We start from the raw sequence: 22,607 nt of genomic DNA, 5'->3' as shown, positions 1-22,607 counted from the left end.
GAAATTTAAGTTCAAAACACCAACTGCACACATGGAATAAAGAAAACCTCATGTTAAAAACTGCCACTATAAAGGAAGGGAGTTTGCTGGGCCATAAGAGCATTTTTACACCAACAGTGTCATGCAATGGTTAAAACAAGGACCACATTAGGGACATTCTTTTTTTTCTTTTTCTTTTTTTTTTTTTTTTTTTTTGAGACAGAGTTTTGCTCTTGCTGCCCAGGCTGGCGTGCAATGGTGCAATCTCGGCTCACTGCAACCTCCGCCTCCTGGGTTCAAAGTGATTCTCCTGTCTCAGCCTCCCAAGTAGCCGGGATTACAGGCGCATGCCACCACGCCCAGCTAATTTTTGTATTTTTTAGTAGAGACGGGTTTTCACCATGTTGGTCAGGCTGGTCTTGAACTCCTGACCTCAAGTGATCCACCTGCTTCAGCCTCCCAAAGTGCTGGGATTAGAGGCATGAGCCACTACGCCTGGCCTGGGACATTCTTATAAAGACAGGAATGGGTCCATTTGTGCCCTGCACCTGTGGTAGAGGACAACCAGAGTGGGAATGGCCTGGAAACTTGGCATTAGGAAGCCTGGTTGAAGGAATTGAAGTTGTTTTACCTGGGATGAAGAAAGCTTAGACAGTGCCATAACAGTGACCTCCAGACCCTTAAAAGATGTTCTAGAAAAGCAGTTATAGGTAGATTCCGTATGACATGAGACACCAGAACAAAGATGAAAAGGCTTGCATTACAAAAAGACAGATTCACTCTCAATGTAGATAAGGACTGTTTGAGAATGGGAGCTATCCAGCAATACAGTTGGGGCAGGGGTGGCCACTTCCCACTCCCTGGAGTCTCAGAGGGCATGGAAACCAGATGAGCTGCCATTTGGGACATCTTAAAAAAGATTCCCACTCTGGGTGAGAAGTTTGATTCTATGGGTACTAAGGTCTTTCCCAACTCTATGATTCCAAGATTCTAGGACTCTTGTTAAATTAACTTTATTCTTGGTTAATTTCACTTTGAAGGATGTAGGCACAGATATCTTTAGATCCAGCAATTACACTTTTAAGAAACCATTCTTAAAAATTCATACATATAAGCAAATATATATATGGAAACTGTTTGTATGAGATTTGTTTATAATAACTAAAACCAAGAAAATGCTACCATATGGGTAAAAGGTGGTTAAATGCTTTGAGCACGTTTGTGCAGGGGAATATTATGTAGTGTTTTTAAAAACTGAGGAGCAATCTCATGATTTGAGATGTCACATGTGTCACCAATTAAGCTTAGAACACACAAAAAATGAAAACAAAATAAAAAATAATAATAATTAAGTAAAAATTTTTTCTGGATATAGTCTTACTCTGCCACCCAGGTTGGTATGCAGTGGCATGATCTTGGCTTACTGCAACCTCCACCTCCTTGATTTAAGCGACCCTCCCATCTCAGACTCCTGAGTAGATGGGACTACGGGCACATACCATCATGCCCGGCCAATTTTTGTATTTTTTGTAGAGATGGGGTTTCACCATGTTGCCCAGTCTAGTCTCGAACTCCTGGGTTCAAGCAATCCTCCCACCTTGGCCTCCCAGAATTAAGCAATTTTTTAGCACATGAATGCCCAGGTCCTCAGATTACTCATTCAATACAGCCAAACCTCATGTACATTAATGGATTGAGAGATGTCAGAAACAAAACTTGACCATATCTCTTTTAGTCATTCACAAAAATAAAGTAGACAGTTTCCCTGCCCTCTGGGCTTAGTCTGGTGGGTGGGCTCTCCAAAACTTTGTTTCAACAAATTTCAACCCCAGAATGAGATCCTTACATTCAGGAACCATTCCTACCTCATTATTTTTATTTCCACTTATTATTAAGATAGGATTCATGAAGAATTCTTGATGCAAGAAAAACGTTCAGGAATTTTTGTGATTGTTTGTTCCAGTCTTACTCCTCCTATGATTTTTTAATAGAATGTCCCTCAAAATCTTGTGCCCCACAATTTTTAATAAAGCAAAAAGAAATTAAGCTGAACTATCAAATAAAATTCCAACTATATTTAAAATTGTCCTTGACCCTAAAATTTCAAAATGTCATACAAAATCAGTGAATCTTCAAGACTCTGGGACTAACATGGGACAATAGGAGAGATTTTTACATGTCATTGCCTTTTAAAAGTAATGCCCATTAAAACTAGACTAGAAGTGCTGAGACTGAAGACGTTTCTGAGAGTTTATGTGGACTTTACACTGTCCTGATGGCATTGTGTAGAAAAGGCCTCCACACACAGGAAGAAAGAAATCTTTATCATTATCATCTTAGTAATATCAGTCCAACAGAATCTCAAGGATTTCTTAGATAAAGTAATTCAGGAGTTTTGATTTAAAAGCCCAATCCAGTATAACAAGAAAAGTCTAGAAAGAAATGTGATGCTGTTACTGGTTATGAGGAAATTACAACCATGAATTATTAAACCCTTGAAAGATTGTGTTCTTCTCAGCTCTTCTGTGATGGGTTTCAAAGCAGCTTTCAATGAAGCTGTTAGGATCTCATAATGCCTCACAGAAGCTCACTGAGCAGGGCCAGGAGGAAAAGAAACTTAACCACAATTACAGAAACATCCAAGAGAACACACTAACCAAACTGTGAAGGTTTTTTACAAGTGGTAGACTGAACAGAAAGGGAAGGAAAAGCAGGACCATCCTTCCAAAACCAGAATGAGCCCATGATCAGTGTTGCCACACCAACCCAAAATGATCAATTCACCCAATGTATTACCTCCTGGTTCCTTTCAGAGGTTAGCAGTTTCTGTGTCTGCTCTGGCTGAAAATTATCCTTCTCAAATAGGTAGTTTGGATCTCCTGGGGCTGTCACTTATGCATTCCAAAGGGCAATAAACAACACTCTCAAAGGCTTGTCAATAGAACATGGAGAAATTTAGGGGGTATGTCTTCATTATCATAGATTTGAGTTCCTTTTGTTACCCTTCTCACTGCTGAAGCACTGAAGCTCTCCCATGCCAAGACAGGGATTCAAACTGTGCATCCACTAATGGTAGTAACAGCTATTTCCAGACCCACTGATATGGTTTGGCTCTGTATCCCCACCCATATCTCATGTTGAATTATAATCCCCAATGTAAGAGGAGGGACACGGTGGGAGGTGACTGGATCATGGGGGCAGATTCCCCACTTGCTGTTCTAGTGACAGTGAGTAAGTTCTCTTGAGAGCTGGTTGTTTAAACGTGTGTAGCACTTCCCCCTTCACTCTTGCTCTCTCTCCTGCCACCATGTGAAGATGTGCTTGCTTTCCCTTTTCCTTTTGCCATGATTGTAAGTTTCCTTAGGCCTTCCTGGCCATGGCTCCTGTACAGCCTGCAAAACTGTGAGTCAATTAAACCTCTTTTCTTTATAAATTACCCAGTCTCAGGTAGTTTTTTTATAGCAGTGAGAGAACAGACTAATACACACACTATAGAGTGTTCTGGGAGGGGCTGGGCGTGTGGCTAATATAATAATCCTGGGCTAAATAGTTTAAGGAAAAAGAGTGAGAAACTTCATCTCTACCATACCCCCAGCCCTAGGTCTTTGCCTTCACAGTTTAAAGATTAAATAGATTGTCTTGGTTGCAGTTCCCCCATAAGTAGACCCTATGACTGCAAGTACAGGTTTGAGTGCAAGTAGTTTATGTGGGAGGTGACTCCAGAAACACCCATAGGTGAGTGAAGAAGTGAGATGGAGAAAGGAAGACAGCAAAGATAGGATGTGTCATCAAATAAGTCATCACTGTGGGTAACTGGAGCTCAGTCCTACTTGAGAATTCTGAGAAATGGTGGAGAAAATGCTGCAGAGTTCTCCTATCCAAGGAGTAATGGCACTGGTGCATTCATCCACCAACTCCCTGTCCATATTTGGTTGAGTGCTGCTTCTGAGGCATTAACCTGCTGGCACCTCTGGCCTTCCCAACAAGCAAGGCCAAGCATGGTCCATAAGCCAGTACAAAACAAAAGTTCCAGGCAGAGTTACAGGAGTTTGCAGTAAGTAGCCTTCAGCATGAGAGATGGAATATAGACAGGGCACCAACAATGTCTACTGTACAGAATGAGAAAAGCTAAGATAAAGGTTAGCACAGAGTTCTAGAAAAGTCATAGGTGGGGGAGGTAACAAAAGTGTCACTGCAGTACAATGGGGAAATGATGGTCTTTTCAATAAGTGGCAGTAGGCCAATTGTGCATCCATATTTGGGAAAAAAGTAATCTTGAGCCCTACCTCACACCATTTGCAAATATCAATTCCATATGAAACATGGATCTAAATGACAAAGGCAAAATGAAAAATTTCTAGAACTTTTGAGATATCTTCATGACCTCGAGGTTGGTGAAGAATTTGTTTAAGAACAAACAGAAGAGAACACAAAAACACACTAACCATAAAGAAAAGGATTGATAAACTGGACTATACAAAAATAAGAACTTCTGCCCTCAAAATATAACACTAAGAGATTGAAAAGGCAAGCCACAGAGTAAGAGAAGGTATTGGAAATACATACAGCTGACAAATGACTCATATTCAAAATACATAAAAGACATCTGTAAGACAGTAAGAAAAGGTGCAAAGAACCTTACTGAAAAATGAGCAATTACCTGGGCGATGAAATAATTTGTATACCAAACCACCACGACACATGATTTACCTATATATCAAGCCCGCACATGTACCCCTGAACCTAAAATAAAAGTTAAAAAAGAGAGAGAAAAGAGAAATAAAAATGAGCAAACATCTTGAACAAGTAATCCACAAAGGAGAATATCTAGGTAGTTAAAAATTATATAAAATGGTGTTCAGTCTCACAAGCCATTAGAGAAATGCAAATCAAAACCAGTATGAGATTTCATTACACATCCACCAAAGTGGCTACAATTTAAACATCAATACCAATATCAGTGAGGATGTGGAGCAACCAGAACTTTCATATACTTCCAGGGTTATAAATTGGTACAACCAGTGTAGAAAACTGTTCAGCCAAACAAATCATCCCCTTTGATCCAGCAATTCCTCTTTTAGATACATACCAAATAACTGTGTATACATAAGTTCATCAAGAAGCATGTAGAAAAAATTGTTCACGCAATAGCTCCCAAATGGAAACAACCCAAATGTCCATCATCAGGAGAATGGATCAAGAAATTGTGGTATGTACACACAATGGAATTTTATTCAGCAATGAGAATGAACAATCAGCTATATATGCAATAAGATGAAAGAATCTTACATACATAATGTTAAGTGAATAATGCTAGAAAGAAGTATATATGATTTCACTTATATAAACTTCAAAAACAAGAACATCTAATTGATAAGGGTAGAAATTGGGAGAGTTGTTACTTTTGGGAAGGGGGATATTGACTGAAGGTGGCTTGAAGGGAGGGGAGGATGTTTCAGGTGGAGTAACATTTTATTTCTTGATCTGAGTGGTGTTTACATGAGCTGTTCACTTTGTGAAAATCAACCAAGACGAACACTTATGGTCTGTGCGCTTTTCTGTGGGAATGTTAAACTTTAATATAAAATTTATTTTAAAACTCAGTAACTAAATAAATCAACGGCAACCAAAATGCCAGCAACATTAAAATGTCTAAAGATGAACATCCTGGAGTCAAAGCCCATGAAGTATTTCCAAAGTCTCAGGTTTCAGTGACTGAAAAGTTGGACTCTTCAAATTGATGACCATCAGTCTCAGAAGGCTCTCAACACAGTAAGATCATCCCAATATACTTCCTTAATGCCTTCACGTTCCCTCCCTGAGACAACTTATTAACACCCTCCCTTCTCTCCTCACATTGCCAACACTCTCAGCTGATGACCTCACCCCATACTTTACAGAGAAAATAGATCCCCTTATAGAAGAATACCCCATCCCACCACCAGCAGTTCACCAGCCCACCTGCCTCCCTGCTCGTATCCTTCAGCTTCCCTCCAGCGGCCATGGATGAAATGGTGCTCTCATCTCATCCCCTCTCGGCTTCTCAATGATATCCATAATTATTCAGTTCTCTCCCCCAGGATCATCAATTCACCCTTCTCTTGGAATCTGAACATGCCTAAAATATCAATACCTTTTAAGACATTTTTCCTTGATACTGTATTCCCTTCCAGCCACTGCTCCATTTCTCCACTCCCCTTCAGAGTGAAACGCCTTACAAGAGTTGTCTGTAGAGCTGGGTGCGGTGGCTCACGCCTGTAATCCCAGCACTTTGGGAGGCGTGAGGACTGCTTCAGCGCAAGAGTTCGAGACCACCCCGGGTAACATGGCGAAACCCTGTCTCTATGAAAAAAAACAAAATTAGCCTAGCGTAGTGGTGCACACCTGTAGTCCTAGCTACTTGGGGGGCCGAGATGGGAGCCTGGGGCGGTCAAGGCTGCAGTGAGTCATGATCAAGTCACTGTACCCAGTCTGGGTGATAGAGTGAAAAAAAAAAAAAAAGCTCTCTGTAGTTGCTATTTCCTCTCCACCTCTCCTATTCTTTCTCCAACACCTCTGATTTGGCGTTCATCTCCACCCCTCCAATGAAATGGCACCTCTCAAGGCCACTAATTAATTACAAGTAACCAAACTCAATAGCCTCTTCTCAGTGCTTATCTTCCTCTCAGAAGCACTTGACCAAGTTGACTTCTCCCCAGTTCTGGAAACATCTCCTGGCTTGCACCATACTACACTCTTCTGATTCTCCTTCTAGCTTTCTGGCTGTCCTTTCTCAGCCTTTCTCCTTCCCTGTGAAGCTTTCAAAGTTGGACTGCCCTGGGCTAAGTCCTGGCCTCCTTTTCTTTACTAGCTTCACTGTGTCTAGCTCCAAGGCTTCACAAACTGTCTCTACGCTTAGGTCTCACATTCACATCTCCAGCCTGGACCTCTCAACTCACACATGTAATTATGTAAGACACATCAGGTATCTCAAACTTAACATGGCTCAAATATAAAACTATTGATTCCATTCCCTCCACAAGAAAATATTCACTCTCCCACTAGCCTTCCCCATTTCTACAAATGGTAATACATTCTACCAGTTATTATTATTACTATTATTTTGAGATGAAGTCTCACTCTTGTTGCCCACGCTGGAGTGCAATGGCGCGATCTTGGCTAACTGCAACCTCTGCCTCCCGGATCCAAGCATTTCTCCTGCCTCAGCCTCCCAAGTAGCTGGGATTACAGGCGCCTGCCACCACGCCTGGCTAATTTTTGTATTTTTAGTAGAGACGGGGTTTCACCATGTTGGCCAGGCTGGTCTCGAACTCCTGACCTCAGGCGATCTGCCCGCCTCGGCCTCCCAAAGTGCTGGGATTACAGGCGTGAGCCACCGTGCCCAGCCACAGTCTACAAGTTATTTAAGCTTTTCAAGCAAAAACAACAAACTAGGAGTCATCCTAAATTATTTTTTTTTTCCACAACCTGTACCCAATCAAATCAGTTAAGTCTTGGCAATCCTATTTCCAAAATGCATTCAGAATCTAACCACTTCTCACCGTCTCTACAGCTACCTCCCTAGTCCTAGCCACCATCACCAGTCACAGTGTCTAACTGGTTTACTAGCCACCAGACTTGCTTCCAGAGTGACTCTTCCAAAGTGTACATCAGATCATGTTGCCCCTGCAAGAAGCCCCCCAGCCTGTCTCAGGGCAACAGGAAGCAGCTGTCCAAGGATGAAATAGCAAGCAGATTACGCAGGGGAATGAGGATCAGGTGACAAGGATATACAGGTGGTGTGAAGGCACTCTCAAAGGAAGAGAAAAAAGAGTAAGTTTTACTTTTAGGCTTCCTCTCCCTTTCAAACTCCCCTAGGCCTGAGCAATACTAAAGGGAGATAGATGCATAATGCAGCTGATGCCGCTAGTGACCGACCCACAGCTACTTTGCCCTCCCCAGAGGACCTCTGTCAACATTCCTGTGCACATCATAGGCTTTTTGCATCTCTCTACCTGGCCCTGGGTGCATGCTGGGACTACATGTGGGGCAAGACCCAGAAGCCATGGAGTTCATGCTCCAGGTGCTACCTTCCATCTGTGGGAAGAAGAAGCTGGTGCATAAATACTCCAGCTTCTTTAATCATTAGTGGAACACATTTGAGGTGTGTGCTCAGAGGGTCGCCAGCTGGATTGAACCCCAGTTGCCCACAGGGCTAACCAGCTTACATGGTGTACTGGCTTTCCTCTTTCCTCCCTTTCCTGTCTCACTTCCCTACCCCCTCTCTGTGCTTCCAGGGAACCCTTCCCAAATAAGTTAATTGCATCGAAATCCTTGTCTCAGGCTCTGCATTCTAGGAAACCTAAACCAAGACACATAATAGTGTGTTTTTTCTCCCAAAGGTAATGCCTTTTATGACATCAAACAAAAACAATGCCATCCCAAATTTAAATGAACAAGAGAAGAGAGAGATCTGGACATAAAGTGTGGAGATAGCATTTTAGAAAATAAAATTTAAAATAATATGAGATTTTAAATCTATCCCAGGTAGAAATCAGCCCCATCTTTATTATTCATGTACAAATATGTATAGAGTATATATTCACCAACTATATGCACACACTCAAGATCCTCTCTTATCTCTACTAACTATTAGTTTGTACCCCAAACAGTTAAAAGGACTTGAAAGAACTCTGACACGTTCCAGGTACATAACTGCCCACTGCTGCATCTAAAGAGAGAAAGAAGTGGGCACATTCTGCTCTGGCAGTGAGTTTCATTCGCGTGAAATCTAACTTAAGGAGAGGTGTGTCTCACACACACACACACACACACACACACGGGAAATGTATGCACCACTCAACAGTCTGCAAAACTTCCCTCCAGTTCTTTTGAAGTGAAATCACCACTCCCACAACCGCACTCCCCAGATACCTGCGCTGTTGAAAGTGAAGGGCCTGTCCCTGCTGTGTGGTTTGGGGTAAAAAGGAGGCAGGATTAAAGCGCTCATTTCAAGTCCCAAAAGTAAAATACGACTTGGCCTACGGCAGTCCTAATTCTTTCCAGAACTCATCCCCGGAATTGCCCTTTTAAACAACCAGTCATTAACCCAACTCCGGGTCTTTTATAGCTGCGAAAACCGATCGAGCACATCATTTATTCATTACGCTTATTACTATTGTTATTGCAGAAAAGCAGTGAATTCCCGGGACGGGGTTCAAAGGGTTTTTCGGAGGAGGAGGGGAAGAGGGAGAGAACACGCGGGCGGGCAGGGACCGCTGGGAGGCTGAGCTGGGCTGTGGGGCAGAGGTGCCCGGAAATCCCCAGGGAAGGATGCCTCCAAAGCGCCTCCGCCCCGCGCGCTCCTAGGCCACTGCGCACCGGCGCAGCTGCGGCAGCAACCTAGGAAGCTTCTTACGTAAGTCAGAGCCGCTGACATCACCTTCGCCGCGAGCGTCGCAGCCTGACTAGGCGCCAAAGGACCGTCGCGCCAACCCAGCGCCCCTGTCTACCTCCTGGGTCGTTCCTAAATGATTCTGCCGTCGCCAGATTTGGACGATCCGGAGCCAAGGGGACCGCCCTTGGAAGGGAGATGACATAGAATGACTATTTATTGGGAGCCCTTGGGTGTCGTAAAAGCGAAGTCAACGGACAGCAAAGACGCCCAGGGGTCTCCCAGACTTCCTTCCTCGTCGTTTCCCTGCAGCCCGCCTAGCAGACTAGTTCATACCTAAGTCCACGTGCCAGTAAATTTGGGCGACAGTGCACCGGGGAGGAGGAAGATAGTCTGTGGGATCCTCTGCGGGCAGATGGCACAGAGCCATTTAGTAGGAACCCTGGGCTGTTCAGAGCAGAAAAGATGCCCAGGGGTCTCCTCCATCTCCCCGGGGCCCCTGACACTCCCACCCTCATCTCTCCCTGACCCTCCCCGCGGCCCCTCCGGGCCACAAGGGTTTTCGGCAGAAGCACTACGAAGTTCAGTCTAGGAGGCGAGCAGCGCCACGCTACGTCGCACACGAGGGCAAGGCACAAGTTCGGAGCTCGGGGCAGCACCTGAGGTCACAGCGAGTGACGAAACAGCCGCGGTGCTGCAGCAGTCTCAAAAGAACACTCACTACTCCTGGAACCCCCAACCCTGAACATGCATGGTGTGGGCTACAGGGCTCAGGGCTGGGCTTCTGGAAACCACAGGAGTTGCAACCCTCCTCCCTACGCCCCGTGAAGGACGTGAAAGGCGAGCCCCGGTGGTGAAGGACAGACCCTCTCTGCCTCCTGTGCTCCCCATAAACGCTCCCTTTCTGCTCCTTCTCAGCCCACGCTGCCTGCGACTTCAGAGGTCGCCCTTTTAACTTTCCACCGTCCACGTCTGCATCACTGAATCGGGGTCCAGCCCAGCCACTCAGCCCCAGGAGGATTGGGGTGGGTCCCAGGGGATGGGAAGGGTGGGAAGGCGAGAGTAGTAAGGTGCAAGCTGCAACCGGAGCGGCGCCGCGGGGCTGGGATTGCCGCTGCTGGGGAGGGCGCGAGGGTGCGGCGCAGAAACCCATAGCCTGGCGGGCGGACGGCGCGGGTACTCACGCACTGCCTCCTGCTTAGGGTCAAGCGTGCTGAGGACGCGCTGCACGCCGCCGAGCTTGCCCTGCAGCGCCCAGACGCGGCGGTGGGTGAGCTGGATGTCGCTCTCGAGCTCCTGGAAGAGGCTGCAAGCGTGCCGGGCCACGTCCGAGAGCTGCCGGAGGACACGGGCCAGAGCGGCGTTGCTGACCGCGCATAGGTCCAGCATGAGCAGCACGGCCGCCGCCGCCGCCGCCGAGGACGCCTCGCCGGCTGCGGGCGCCGCCTCCGGGATCCCCGCCGTGCTCTCCTCGCCAGCCACGGACGCCTCTCCGTGCGGCGGCTGAGTCTGGTCGGCCGGCGCGGGCAGTGGCGGCGGCGGCGGTGGCAGCCCTGAAGGTGCAGGGACGGCGCGGGCTGGCTCCTCTGGCCCTGGCGCCTCGACCTCGTCCAGGTCCCTCCGGCCCGGCGGCTGCAAGGGCGGCGGCGGCTCAGCGCTGCCTCCGCTCGCGTCCACTGCTGGGCCGGGCGCAGGGCGCCGCTGCCTGCACAGCCATTGCGGCTCCACGATCCGCTTGGCGAAAGGCATCCCGCGCAGCCAGGCGGCGACTTTCTGGTCTCCTCCAAGCGCCCCTGTGAGCTGGAGACCGGGCGCGCCCACCTGAGCAGGGAGGGGGCAGGAGTCCGGCAAAAGCGCGATCTGGCAGTCCGGATACGCAGGGGGCTTCTCTGCTCACCTTGCCTCCTCTTCCCCGCCCTCTCCCTAGCAAATCAGTCCAGCCAGTCCTCCTTTGGGTGCACCGTTCCCTGGGGAGGATGACAAGCGCTCCGCACAGAAATTTAGGGGTGCGCCTGGTCTCTTCTCACTTGCTTCCAACCAGGGTCGACTGGCTCAACTCCATCGTTTCTGTGCTCGCCGTCGCCACCCCGGCCACTGCCGTCGCCGCCGCCTATATAAATGGGCGTGCGTGTGTCTGTGTGTGTGTGGGTGAGTGGGTGGGTGGGTGTGAGTGTGTGCGCGCGCCTCAGTTTGAAAGTACCCCGGCGCAGGCCTCTCCCCGCGCGCCCCTCGGCCGCTCCGGGGAGCGATTGCGCCCGGGATCTCTCTCCCTGGCTGGGCGGGGAGGAGGTTTCGGAAAGGCGCTCTGAAAACCCGGAGAGAGGAATCTGCCTCCAGCCCGGGCGCAGGAGGCCGCGCGGGGGTGACGGGGCGGACGCAGGGCGGGGGAGGCCGGGGCGAGGGGGGCGCAGCGCCCTGTGCGGCCGCTGGGAGTCACTGGTGGCCTCGCCGTGCTGGGCGCGTTCAGGCGCAAAGACACTTCCTCACATCCAAGGGGTTGGAATTGAGACTGTCAGCGTGGTGGGGGCGGGGAGTCCTCAAGTTGGGAGTAGGGGTGTGGGCAGTAAGCGCAGAGGGAAGAGGGTGGGGTATTGAGGATGCGGCAGATTTGGCGTGTTGGAGCAAGTTTTTCGCCGAATTCCAGCTCTGTACAAGACCTTTGGGTTCTTACAGGGAAAACTGGGCTGCTCCTTGGAGATCCCCGGGCTCTATGAACGCAAGGAGACAACTGGGGAGGGCAAAGGGCGTAGGCGCATCTCCATGTGGCCAGAGCAGCCAGAGTGCTGTTTATACCCCTTCCCAGGCATCACGTGGCCCCCTGTTTTGGGCACGGGCTCTATAGAATATCGTGAATGAGACCCAAACCACCAATGAGCAAAATCCCCAGAAAACTGCTTACGAAACTCATTGCACGTTGGGTGAGATAAACGGCATTACCTCCTCGTCACCCTACTGTGCTGATCATACACAGGATTTTTAAAGTTCTCCATCAGAGAGATGATGATTTACAGAAGAAGGGAAAGTTTTCCCCTTCAGTTAACTGAAAGGTATAATTTCTAAAAAGGCATGCATTTTCGATTGCAGCAGGCTGCAGGCTGTATGCCGTCAGTAAAAAGAGTTTGGGAAATGTTAATAAAACACGTGCTTTCATGCCTCCAAAAAGTATACTGTAAAAATATTTTTTATTTTAAAGCCACAAGCCAGATCTTGGGAATGCAGCCTCTTTTCGTGTTTCTAAAGAGAACATGGAAAAAATATGTTTTATGGCAACAATAAAGTCCTCCAGACCTGCGGTGGTGTCTCCTCTCCTCCCTCTAAAGGCGGGAGAGGGAGGAGGCTCCAACAGTCAGCACTTTGGACTGGCCCACGCTTTGGTTTTAAAGGCTTCAACAGACCCTTGTCTTATTCTACAAAACAAAAAAAAAAAAACAAAAAAAAACCAAAATTTTCGGCAAGGACATATCCTTGTTCATAAAAGATCCAGGCTGAGGCTTTGGGGGTAAAGGGCCATGATGTCTGCAAAGTACACATAAATGTTTCAGTAACAACAAGAAGAAGAATGATGATAATAAAGATGTGTATGTATGAAGGGAGAAAAAAACAAAATATGGCAAAATGTTCAAAATAGTCTAGGTTAAGGGCATATCAGGGTTCATTGTACATTTCTTGCAACTTTAAATTTGGTTTTGTTTCCAAATAAAAAATGAAAGAAAAGAATATTTTGGAACAAGGTCTTTTAAGGTTTGTTTTTTATCTCACAAATCTGAAAAGCGTTGAGCTAGCTGTTTTTAAATTGAGCTTGACTTTTTAATACGTTCAAAATTCTGAACATGAGTTCTGCTGGGTAGGCAAGCCAGACACTTCTCCCTAAACACATGGAAGCATGGAGAACAATGAGGGATATTAAAGGCATCTGGTTAGCAAGCCTTGTGGCAACAGGCTGCCCTGCCTCTCACTCTCCCTTACCTAGCACTGTCCTATTAATAGCAAGGGTGCCAGTGGAGCGGGCCCATCTGAGCATTGACAGGGGCAATGAATAAGTGGTGTGGGACTCTCACTCCTAAAGGGAGTTTCAGATTATTGGCAAGTTCCTTCCAGGGCTCCCAAAATAAGTGATCAGAAAGGAAGGGCAAAGGCCCAGGAGAGAAAGGGTTCAAGGGGGTAATTAAGCTAAAAAACAGGCCAGCTACCTTAGTGTCTGCCCCCAAGTGATCAGCTCAGATTCAAGCCGAGATTTCAAAATGATTCAAAGCACAGTTCAAGGATGCAAAAAGGAGTGCCCTCTTTGTAATCTCCTTGACTCTGACTTGTGTGCTAATAAAGCCCTTTGGTTAAAATTTTAAAAACCTTTAATTTTGGCTTTTGATCTCCTTCATTCTCGCTGTCCCCTCCCCTTCCTTTGGTGGTGGTCCCCAGTGACCTTTCCAAGAGCACATTACGTTTTTGTTTTTGTTTTTGTTTTTGTTTTTGTTTTTGTTTTATTTGGGGAGAAAGACACCCTCCTTCAAAGTCACCAAAACCAAACCTAATACAAATGATCATATTCATTGATATGGTTGGTTGATGTTTTCCCAGTCCTCTGTAAGATATGAATAAAGGTATCTTTAGAAAATGTAACGATTGTTTTACATTAGTGACACCATCTAAATAAAAAACTGCTAGCTTTGGGAAGGCAGCTTCAAGACAGCCTGCTGGCCCCATCCTACCCTTTTCCCAACTCAAGTCCCTCCCATGTGAATTACCCCCACACACACACCCCTACACACATTTTTGGGTTTTATTCCTGCTTTCTAGAACTAAAATACTGAAATTTTAAAAAGGGTAGCAACACATGTAATCCTGACAGGACATGTGAATAGTCTTAAGCTGATGAGTTTTCAGCATACGTGGGAGCTGTGTCTTTCTTGTTTAAATCCTGAATTGTGACATTTTACTCCAAATTTTCCCACAAAAAGTTCTGATGAAGTCAAGGTTGCTTTCTAAAGCCAGGTTGTTACACCTGATTGTTACACCAGATTGTTATGTGTGTGTTGATCTCTCCCAATCACACCGCCTCCCCACTATTCATGTACACATGTTTATTTACCGTGCACTTGTAGCCAAAATAGAAGGGAAAGGAAACATTTTTAAATGGCCCCATCGCCTAATTCCCAGCAGTCATTCATGCAGCTCAAAGGCCAGCACAATTCGCCCATAAATTCAAATGTTTAGTCAGTATAAACTGTATGCCATTGTAAAATGAATGAAAGATCCTGTCTGTGTCACCACGCCCCACAGTTACATTCTTGCCTGCTCCAGCCCAGAAGGAAGAAGGGCTTTGCTGAACTTGAAGATTGGCATTGAGAGCACCGTGAAGCGCCACTGTCCTCAACCTGGCTGTCCTCATGCCTCCACGGAACCCTAGTCAGGCTTCCTATAGAACCTCACAAGCGGCAAAGCAGAGATTCCTAAAACACTCTTCGCTAAAAATGTTCTGATTTGAATATCCTACCATTATTTATACTTGAAAATATTTCTTTTGGCTAAGAAATGCCAGGAGATACACGGGGCACATTAGCATAATCATTGAATTATAGTGACTGAAGTGTCTTTTCCTCCACCTAATTGAACCTATTCCTCATTTAATCAATGTAATCTACTCCTAAAAAGTCCTGCCACTAAGTAAAAACCTGTTAAATAAAAAATATTTGCATTAATTTTATTGGAAAAAATTATGAGCATTCCATCCCAACTTAAGTTACTTAAACCATTTCACAGATAGAAAACTATAGCAAGTTTACATAGGTGAAGGGCTACAATTTGAAAGTAAATAAATATAGTTTGTACATAAAATGCAATGTTATAATATCTCATGAAGGAAGAAGAGCAGATTTGAAATTGGGTGGTGAGGAGTGGAGGAGGGTGAGGTTGTCATTCTTGGGAAATCGTTGGAGAGTCATGTGGTTCACAATGAAGCAGAAAACTTTTTCGAGCTCATGGCTATACTACACTTAAACTGCACTTACAAATAAAGTTACAGTACAGAACAACACCTTAAGGGAAAAATAAAGGATAAACTTCAGAGAGCCTTAAAACATATGGAAAGAGCTCATACACATAGCCGACTGAAGGGTCACAGAAAGATGTTACTCACTCCTCTCTCTCCCACACCAGGAGGCCACCATTGTCAGGCTTTCCAAGAGTTTCTGCAAAGTTTAATGTTAGTTGCTGAGCTCTGAGAGTCCCCAAATCCCTCTTTCCTTTAGTTTTGCTGGCTCATGGGAGGAAGTTCACAGCCCATGGTGGTATGCCATCTTGAATGAGGAAGCATGCATTCTTCCATATGTGTGGTTTATGATGTCCAAAGCCTTCATAGCTTACTTTTTGCAACTCTAAAGTCCAAGTTCTTCCAGTTCAGGAACTTTGAATGTGGCTTTGTGTACAGGTATTCCCATGAAACACTGGGAGAGAAACATATTCATTAATACATCAAAATATTAATCCACCATACACATAAATATATTTACACATATATTGATAACTACCATATGTATAGTTTCGAGGGAGAAAAAAGACTATATACTACCATTGAAGGTTTTCCCTTGTTTCAGCTTGTGCTTTTCTTCCTTAAAAATCTTCATTTAGTCTATCAAGTGTGAAGGACAGGGGTTTCTCTCTGCATTTTATTGATAGGAAAACATGGGCAGAAAAAATAATGCTATTAAAATGGTTTTCCCAAAATGCCAAAGACTGTGAATACAAAGACTATGCCAACCAGCCTTTTTATCTTCCTTTGCAGAGAACTGTTGATTACTCACATTGTTTCCTGTGGGAGAAATTCTTACTTCTTTCTAATCTTCAAAAATCCTAGCCTCACATTTTACAACTGAATATAATTTTAAACATGCCAAATCTGGATTTAGTCAGAACTGCAAATACGTAACTCAAAATAACTGACAGAATTAAAGCAGATGGTGATAGCAAACAACAATGGAGTTTCATTCACTTATTCGTTCCTTTGGTGATGTAACAAACATTGACCGGATGCTTCCATTTACTGAGTGCAAACATTTATTGGGTGCTTAGGCCTCTGTGAGCTGCCAGAGATATAAAAGGAAAGAAGACATAAACATTGCTCTCAAAGGGTGTTGTCTAGTGGGGTAGACAGACACGTAAACAAATAATTGTAGTGCAACGCCAGGCAAGCTATAATAGAGATAAGAATTAAGTGCTATTCAGAATCCCAGAGCGATTAACACTGTCTTGGGGGAACATAGACTGGAGCAGGGATTCTAAAGACAACGCAAGCTTCGGCGCTGGTTCTCACAGGTTAGAAACGGAAAGACCAAAGCCAAGACGAGGCAGCGCTACATGGTTAAAAACAAAACAGTGGCTAAAATTAAGACACCCTCCAACCAGCTGCAGGAGAAAATGTGCTTTTGACTATAATCATTAAATGGCATTCCCAACAAGTCTTTTAAAAACCCTGAAAACCAGGCGGTAGGAGAAATAATGTGGAAATTATGTTGGTTTTTTTCTCTTAAAAAATAGCTGATTTATAATTTTCACTCTTTGGCAGGGCTCAGTTTATAAAGAGGAAGTGGAAGATTTTTAATATATTTCCTATGAAGAAAAGTCTTCAATTAGGTAGGATGAACCACAGTCTCTAGGGCATAGGGTGCTAATAAAGCTAAACGGCCATTCTCCAGGAGTTCATAAGCTCCCCCCACTTTTTAACTGTTCAGAATTTCCTCCCCAAGCACCCTTCTGTGATGAAAACACCCAGTGCTGGCCTTGACTCAGAGGAATTGCTTTTGACTGTGGTGGTCCTGTAATAAATCAGCTCTTTTGGAGAGAAACTTGAGGGAGTAAAATCTACAACTCACATTATCAGTCTGGGGTTGAGTCCTTGTGAACAGCAGAGGCAGCAAACTTCAAACTTTATCAAGATTGTGGTGCTCATTAAGGAAGTGAAATTGAGCCAGATTTGAAGGAAAGCACTGTAGTAATTACAGAGTTATGAAGATTTAAAAGCTATGCGCCTGGGCATGCAGAGCGCAACGTGTTTCCTTTGGGTTCAGAGACACCGCAATTACAGGGCTTAAGGGTAGCAAAGCACCGAATTAGAACTCCCCATTAGTTTGATTAATCACTGATGTAAGTGCAGGCACTAGAAATGGCTCAGTCTCATTTGTGTCTCTTCCTGGCTCCCCTCCGCCTTTCTCTCCTTCTATTTCCTTTACAAAATCAGGGGGCCTGGGAGGAATACAAACTGTATATTAATGATAAGAAATTGCATACAAGAAAGTAAAAACTTCCTGAAGCTTAATGACTTCTCTATATCAGTGTTGGCTTTGCCAAGAGTTGTATAATATAGCATGTTCTTTCCTCTTCCTAGGCTGTTAAATGTTAATGGTACAACAATGACATGTTAGTAAATCTAATAAGAAAACCAGAGAATAACATATTTTATGTGGGTGTATAACAAGTTAACATCACCGTAAGATGCTCACTTGGATAATAATATATGATATTGCATTAGACAAGCTGTAACAAATAACAAAAACAATATCTGGCCAATTAGCAATACTAGGTGTGAGTCTTATTCTTTGGAAGGAACTGTTATACCCTTCTGATGAACTTAGCTAACAAATCTACTTGCAGAAATGGTGTCTTACCCTCTTGGGGCCAGGATATTTGACTCGGTACCTCCTCATGAATACAATCAAAATTACAACCAATTTTATGAATGGGGAACACAAAGGCACAAAAATATCAACACACCACTTCAAACCCAGCATGATCAAACACTCAGAGAAAACTCCTCTGTAAATGGAAATTCAGAACTCTTGAAGCAAAGGCACTTTAATAGAAAGGCCAACCCTTAAATTGTGCACCCAGATGACCCTTAATGGGAAAGGTGATTTTATCACCAGGAGATTTGTAACTAAAAAATGTCACTAAAACGTACTTATGTGGTCCTTTTCATATTTGTGCATGAACTACAGGACTCCTGGGATCAAATCTGAGACAACCAACCAGCCATGCCTCTTAAATTATTTTTTCGGAGGTGTTTTCTTTCTCCACTTCAATTGTAAAGATCCAGGAATAACAGCCCAGTGCACAAAGTAGTCATTTTTATTTCTCATCCTGTCTCGATGGCCTCATAATGGGTTCAATAAGAGTCTGGAAATAATAAAACCTTCTCCATGGAGAAACTCAAGACTTGCTATAAAGCACAATAGCAGCTAGGAGTCTCCTATAGTAACGACAACACTAGCAGAAACATTGCAGGAGTCTGAATTTCCTACTGTAGAGAAAAAGAATTTAAAAGGTGACCATCCTACACACTCACTAGTGTACAGATGGAATACCAGGCCACTAGGATGAAAATAAACAGTGGTACAAGAATTTTGTTGAAAAAAAGGGCTGTAGGCAAGTGCCTTAGTTACAGCTTCATTTTGATCTGTTTTGAAACACGTTTAAAGTATTTCCTGCCTACTGACTTTGGGGACAACTTCACCTTGGTTGCTAAGAAAGTCATAATAAAAGGATAGAGAAGCAGAAAAAGAAGAAAGCAGGGATTTTGAGTTTTTAAAATTATTTTCTGTTTTTATTTGAATGTTGCCTTCTTTGCTGTTGGGTATTTGTATTCACACACCCATAGGCCTGGTGTAGTTTTGCTACAGTGGCAGACACCCGTTATCCCCTTCTTCCTTCCTAACGCAATCCCAATTTTGTCCTGTGTGGCAATGTCACCAGCCAATCTGCTCATAGTCCCAGACTCCCTTGCATTCAGGATTGGCCAGATGACACAGTTCTGGACAAGGACATCTACATGGAAATCTGCTAGAGATTTCTGGAAATGTTTCTGTTTTCCTGATACAGGAGCTGCTGCTTCCTGCTCCTTCCCTTTTCATCTCCCCCCATCCCCCACACACACACCAGAATGGAATCCAGACTGAGATGGAAGGGCCATCCTGTGACTGTGTCATACATGAGGATAAAAGTCACATGCAAAGGATGGTAAAGCTAAAGGAGAGAAGGCTCCTGGATTATAAATAATAAAGCCAAGTGTCCTCCCATACCTGGATTTGCCCTACTCCAGATTTCTTGTATTTGTGAGAAAAATGCCCCTATTTGGGTCGGCCACTGTACAAGCAGTCAGATGTGGTTCTGACTGGCAGGAGTACCAATTCCCTACAAAGCAATGCTACAAAATTCAGGAGATGAGGGTTCTGGATCTGTCTCATTCATTCCATAGATGTTATCCAACAAATACCTACTATGTGTCTGTGGCTATTCTAGGAACCAAGGAATCATCTGCAAACTAATGAGATCAAGACCTGCCCTTATGGAGCTTAACTTCCAATTAGGGAGAGACAATTAGGGAGAGACAGGCACACAATATTAAACATTCATTTGTTCCACAACAAACAGTTTATGTATTCAGGAGCTGCTTCTACTGGGTTTATATACTTAAAATAATAAAAAGAAATTATGTCTGTAGCAGGTGATGGTTGATTCCCCTTCCAGATTCTCTTCACCCAGCCAGCACACTCAGCCCCCATGTCTGTGGATGTTAACTGCTCACAGGTGCACCCTGCTCTGGAGGATTTCCTGTATCTCAGAGGGTCCCGCCTGGAAGATTATATCCCCCAAGAAGGGAAGCCCATGGCCAATGACTCAATGGTGGAGTGCAAAACAAACCCTGTGCTGGTACTCACACTCCAGCACTCTCTATGGCATCAGGCTGAGGCTGGCCTTCTCCTGAACCCACATCTTTGCTTAGATCCTTCCCCTGCCACCTCTGCTTCCTTCATACTTCACAGGTTTCTCCTGGGAGCATTATCTTACTAAATCATCTGCACTGAAAATTCCCCACCTCAGGTTCTGCTCCTGGGATCCTGATCTAAGGCAGTGTCTGTAGCCATTTTTCTTTAATTAATAAGGAATAGAATTTGTTGCATTTCTCCTTTGGAACAAACCATCAGAAACCATTCCCATTTGAATTAAGGTTAGTAGAAATTAGAGGGGCTTGCTTATAACTCACACAATATATCATCATCCAACTAAACATAGCTAGCCACCTTGTTGGTTCTGACCAGTGTAACATGCTAATAGTTTTAACTGTTAATCATAATTTGACCCTCAATTGGCCAGTGCATAAGATAAGATGCATAAGCGTTCTTAATATTGAGGCACAAGTTAATGTGAAGCATAAAAACAGGAATAATTATGATAATCTCCTCTAGATCAGTATTCAACGTATCAAAATCTTATGTACTCATCAGGATGTTTCCAGTACCTCAATAATTAATGTTAAATTTAGAAAGTATAGTGATAATTTTACCATTTTGCATTTGCACTAAATAAAAACTATTCACACTGTGATTTGTTATGCTCATTGAAAATAGCATTAAAACTTTTATCCCACATTATCATTTTTAAAAACCTTCAAATGTGTCATATATAAAAAGTACAATATAAATTATTAACATCATGTCATGAAAATAGTTTTTGTCTATTTTGATGTCTGAACATAGATTTAAATTTCTACTGAATTTTGATGTACATTCAGTCCCAGAACCACATACAAAATAATATGTCAATTTAATTTGTTGACGGTCTAGTTTTTATTATATAAGCAATTTAAGGCCGATAAATAATGTCATTTGTTAAATAGGAAAATATTAAAATTTGTTTTTATAGATTATGAATAGTAGTAAAAAATTACATTGTGTTTCCTAGTAAGTTTTAATTACTTGTTTAATCAATTATTAACCTAAAATTAAACAGTATTTGCTTAAAATTGGGTTTTTAAATTATTTACCGTACAAAAAGAAGAAAATGATCTTTAATATTTTAAGGAACTGGAAAGATGGCATTACTTTCAAAGGGATTCAAGCGTCCATAAAATGGAAATGCTGAGAGAGCTGATTTTTGAAATCACATATGATCTGAGTAACTATGATTGTTCTACCATAAGCTCAATTTACAGCTGTAGCATGCCTTGGGAACTTAATCTTTTATCATATTAGTAGATAATTAGATAACAGTTCTTAAGTATTCAAAAGTAGAACATTGCCCCACTCTTCCCTACTCTTTCATTGCACAGCCCTAAGGTGACCACTTTTTTGCCAAAGACTACCTTGTTAGTGTCCTATGGCCTATGAAACCTTCCTCTGCCCTAGGACCTGTCTTCTTATACTGTAATTTTTTCTAAACAAGAAGAATTGGGCTTCACCCAGGGGAAAAAATATGATAATATATGAAATAAACAAATGATACAAGTCTCCTGACTGTAAAAACCCTGAATTGAGTTTATGGACTCTCTAGTCCTAGAGATCTTTTACAATGACCTGTCTCCAAACTCAACATCTTGGTGTTTAAACATTCAAATACCTAGAGGGAAGGAACTGACCTAAATGACCCTTCTGATTTCAAGATTGCATGTTTCCAACCACTGATGTTTTCAATATTAATCCATGCTGAATTCTTGCATGCTGGTTTATTGTTTTTAATGTTAAAACACATGAAATGTACACTGCAGATTATGTCCACACCAGAGGAATAAAGCCATGTGTAAAATGAAGGTAACATGAGAGAACTGTTAGACTTGGGAGGTAAGAAAAGCTACTGCAATTGAGTTTCCATTTGGGCCAATTCCATCAGCTTTACAATAACTATGGCTTGGTTTTTCCACCCAAAACAGGATTCCATCTTAGTAAAGCCCTGGAATCGGTATAACCTTTCTTCCTCCTTAGTCTTGTTCTCCTGTGTATGCCACTTGAATGGCTAAAACCTAGAATAAATTGACAGGCTAGTCCATGCATCTTCATAGCTCTGAAAAATCCCTCTGGGCAATTCTTTATAAATAGAAGTATTGGCCATGTAAACATAGTATTTCAATTAAACATTGTATTGAGTCATAATACCTAACTTAAGTACTTTATATATTAATGTCAGTATCTATTTATTATATATGTTACAAATAGACAAAATCTAATTCTGTGCTATTGGACAGTGGTTTACTTTGCTGTTCCCTCATATTTTAAGAAACCCAGTAATGTATTTAAGAAACTGTCATTGTAAGGAGTTCTAATTGCATGACATTGGCCCTCTGCGGTTAGGGTAACATCCCAAGGATGGAGCAGGGGCTCAAAATTGGGAACTCTGAGAACAGCATTCTCTCCCAGTGATTTCAATGACTTAAAGCAATCCTTGGGCAAGTCACCCATCCTTTCTTTTCTCACTTCTCTTTCAAGTCATAATT

The 22,607-nt window shown here is 43.6% G+C and overlaps 1 protein-coding gene across 2 annotated transcripts in view, besides 1 other annotated feature; it reads right to left on the bottom strand.

The window, feature by feature from the left end:
- Positions 1–11,659, bottom strand: part of NHS (NHS actin remodeling regulator) — a 360,795-nt gene extending 349,136 nt beyond the window's left edge. For both annotated transcript variants that reach the window (NM_001291867.2, NM_198270.4), the window contains exon 1: positions 10,537–11,659. In NM_001291867.2, the coding sequence (NP_001278796.1) occupies positions 10,537–11,101 (565 nt within the window). In that variant the 5' untranslated portion in view covers positions 11,102–11,659. The remainder of the gene's footprint in view (positions 1–10,536) is intronic.
- Positions 532–1,073: an enhancer, noted in NCBI's record as "OCT4-NANOG hESC enhancer chrX:17403909-17404450 (GRCh37/hg19 assembly coordinates)". NCBI's record gives its function as "activates a minimal SCP1, AML or CMV promoter by ChIP-STARR-seq in naive and primed H9 embryonic stem cells {active_cell/tissue: H9 hESC(naive and primed)}" and the evidence as "EXISTENCE:reporter gene assay evidence [ECO:0000049][PMID:30033119]".

This window comes from Homo sapiens, chromosome X, assembly GCF_000001405.40.
Source record: "Homo sapiens chromosome X, GRCh38.p14 Primary Assembly".
Classification (NCBI taxonomy): domain Eukaryota; kingdom Metazoa; phylum Chordata; class Mammalia; order Primates; family Hominidae; genus Homo; species Homo sapiens.
The sequence above is the reverse complement of the archived record's forward strand: the minus strand, read 5'-3'. Positions and strand labels throughout refer to the sequence as shown.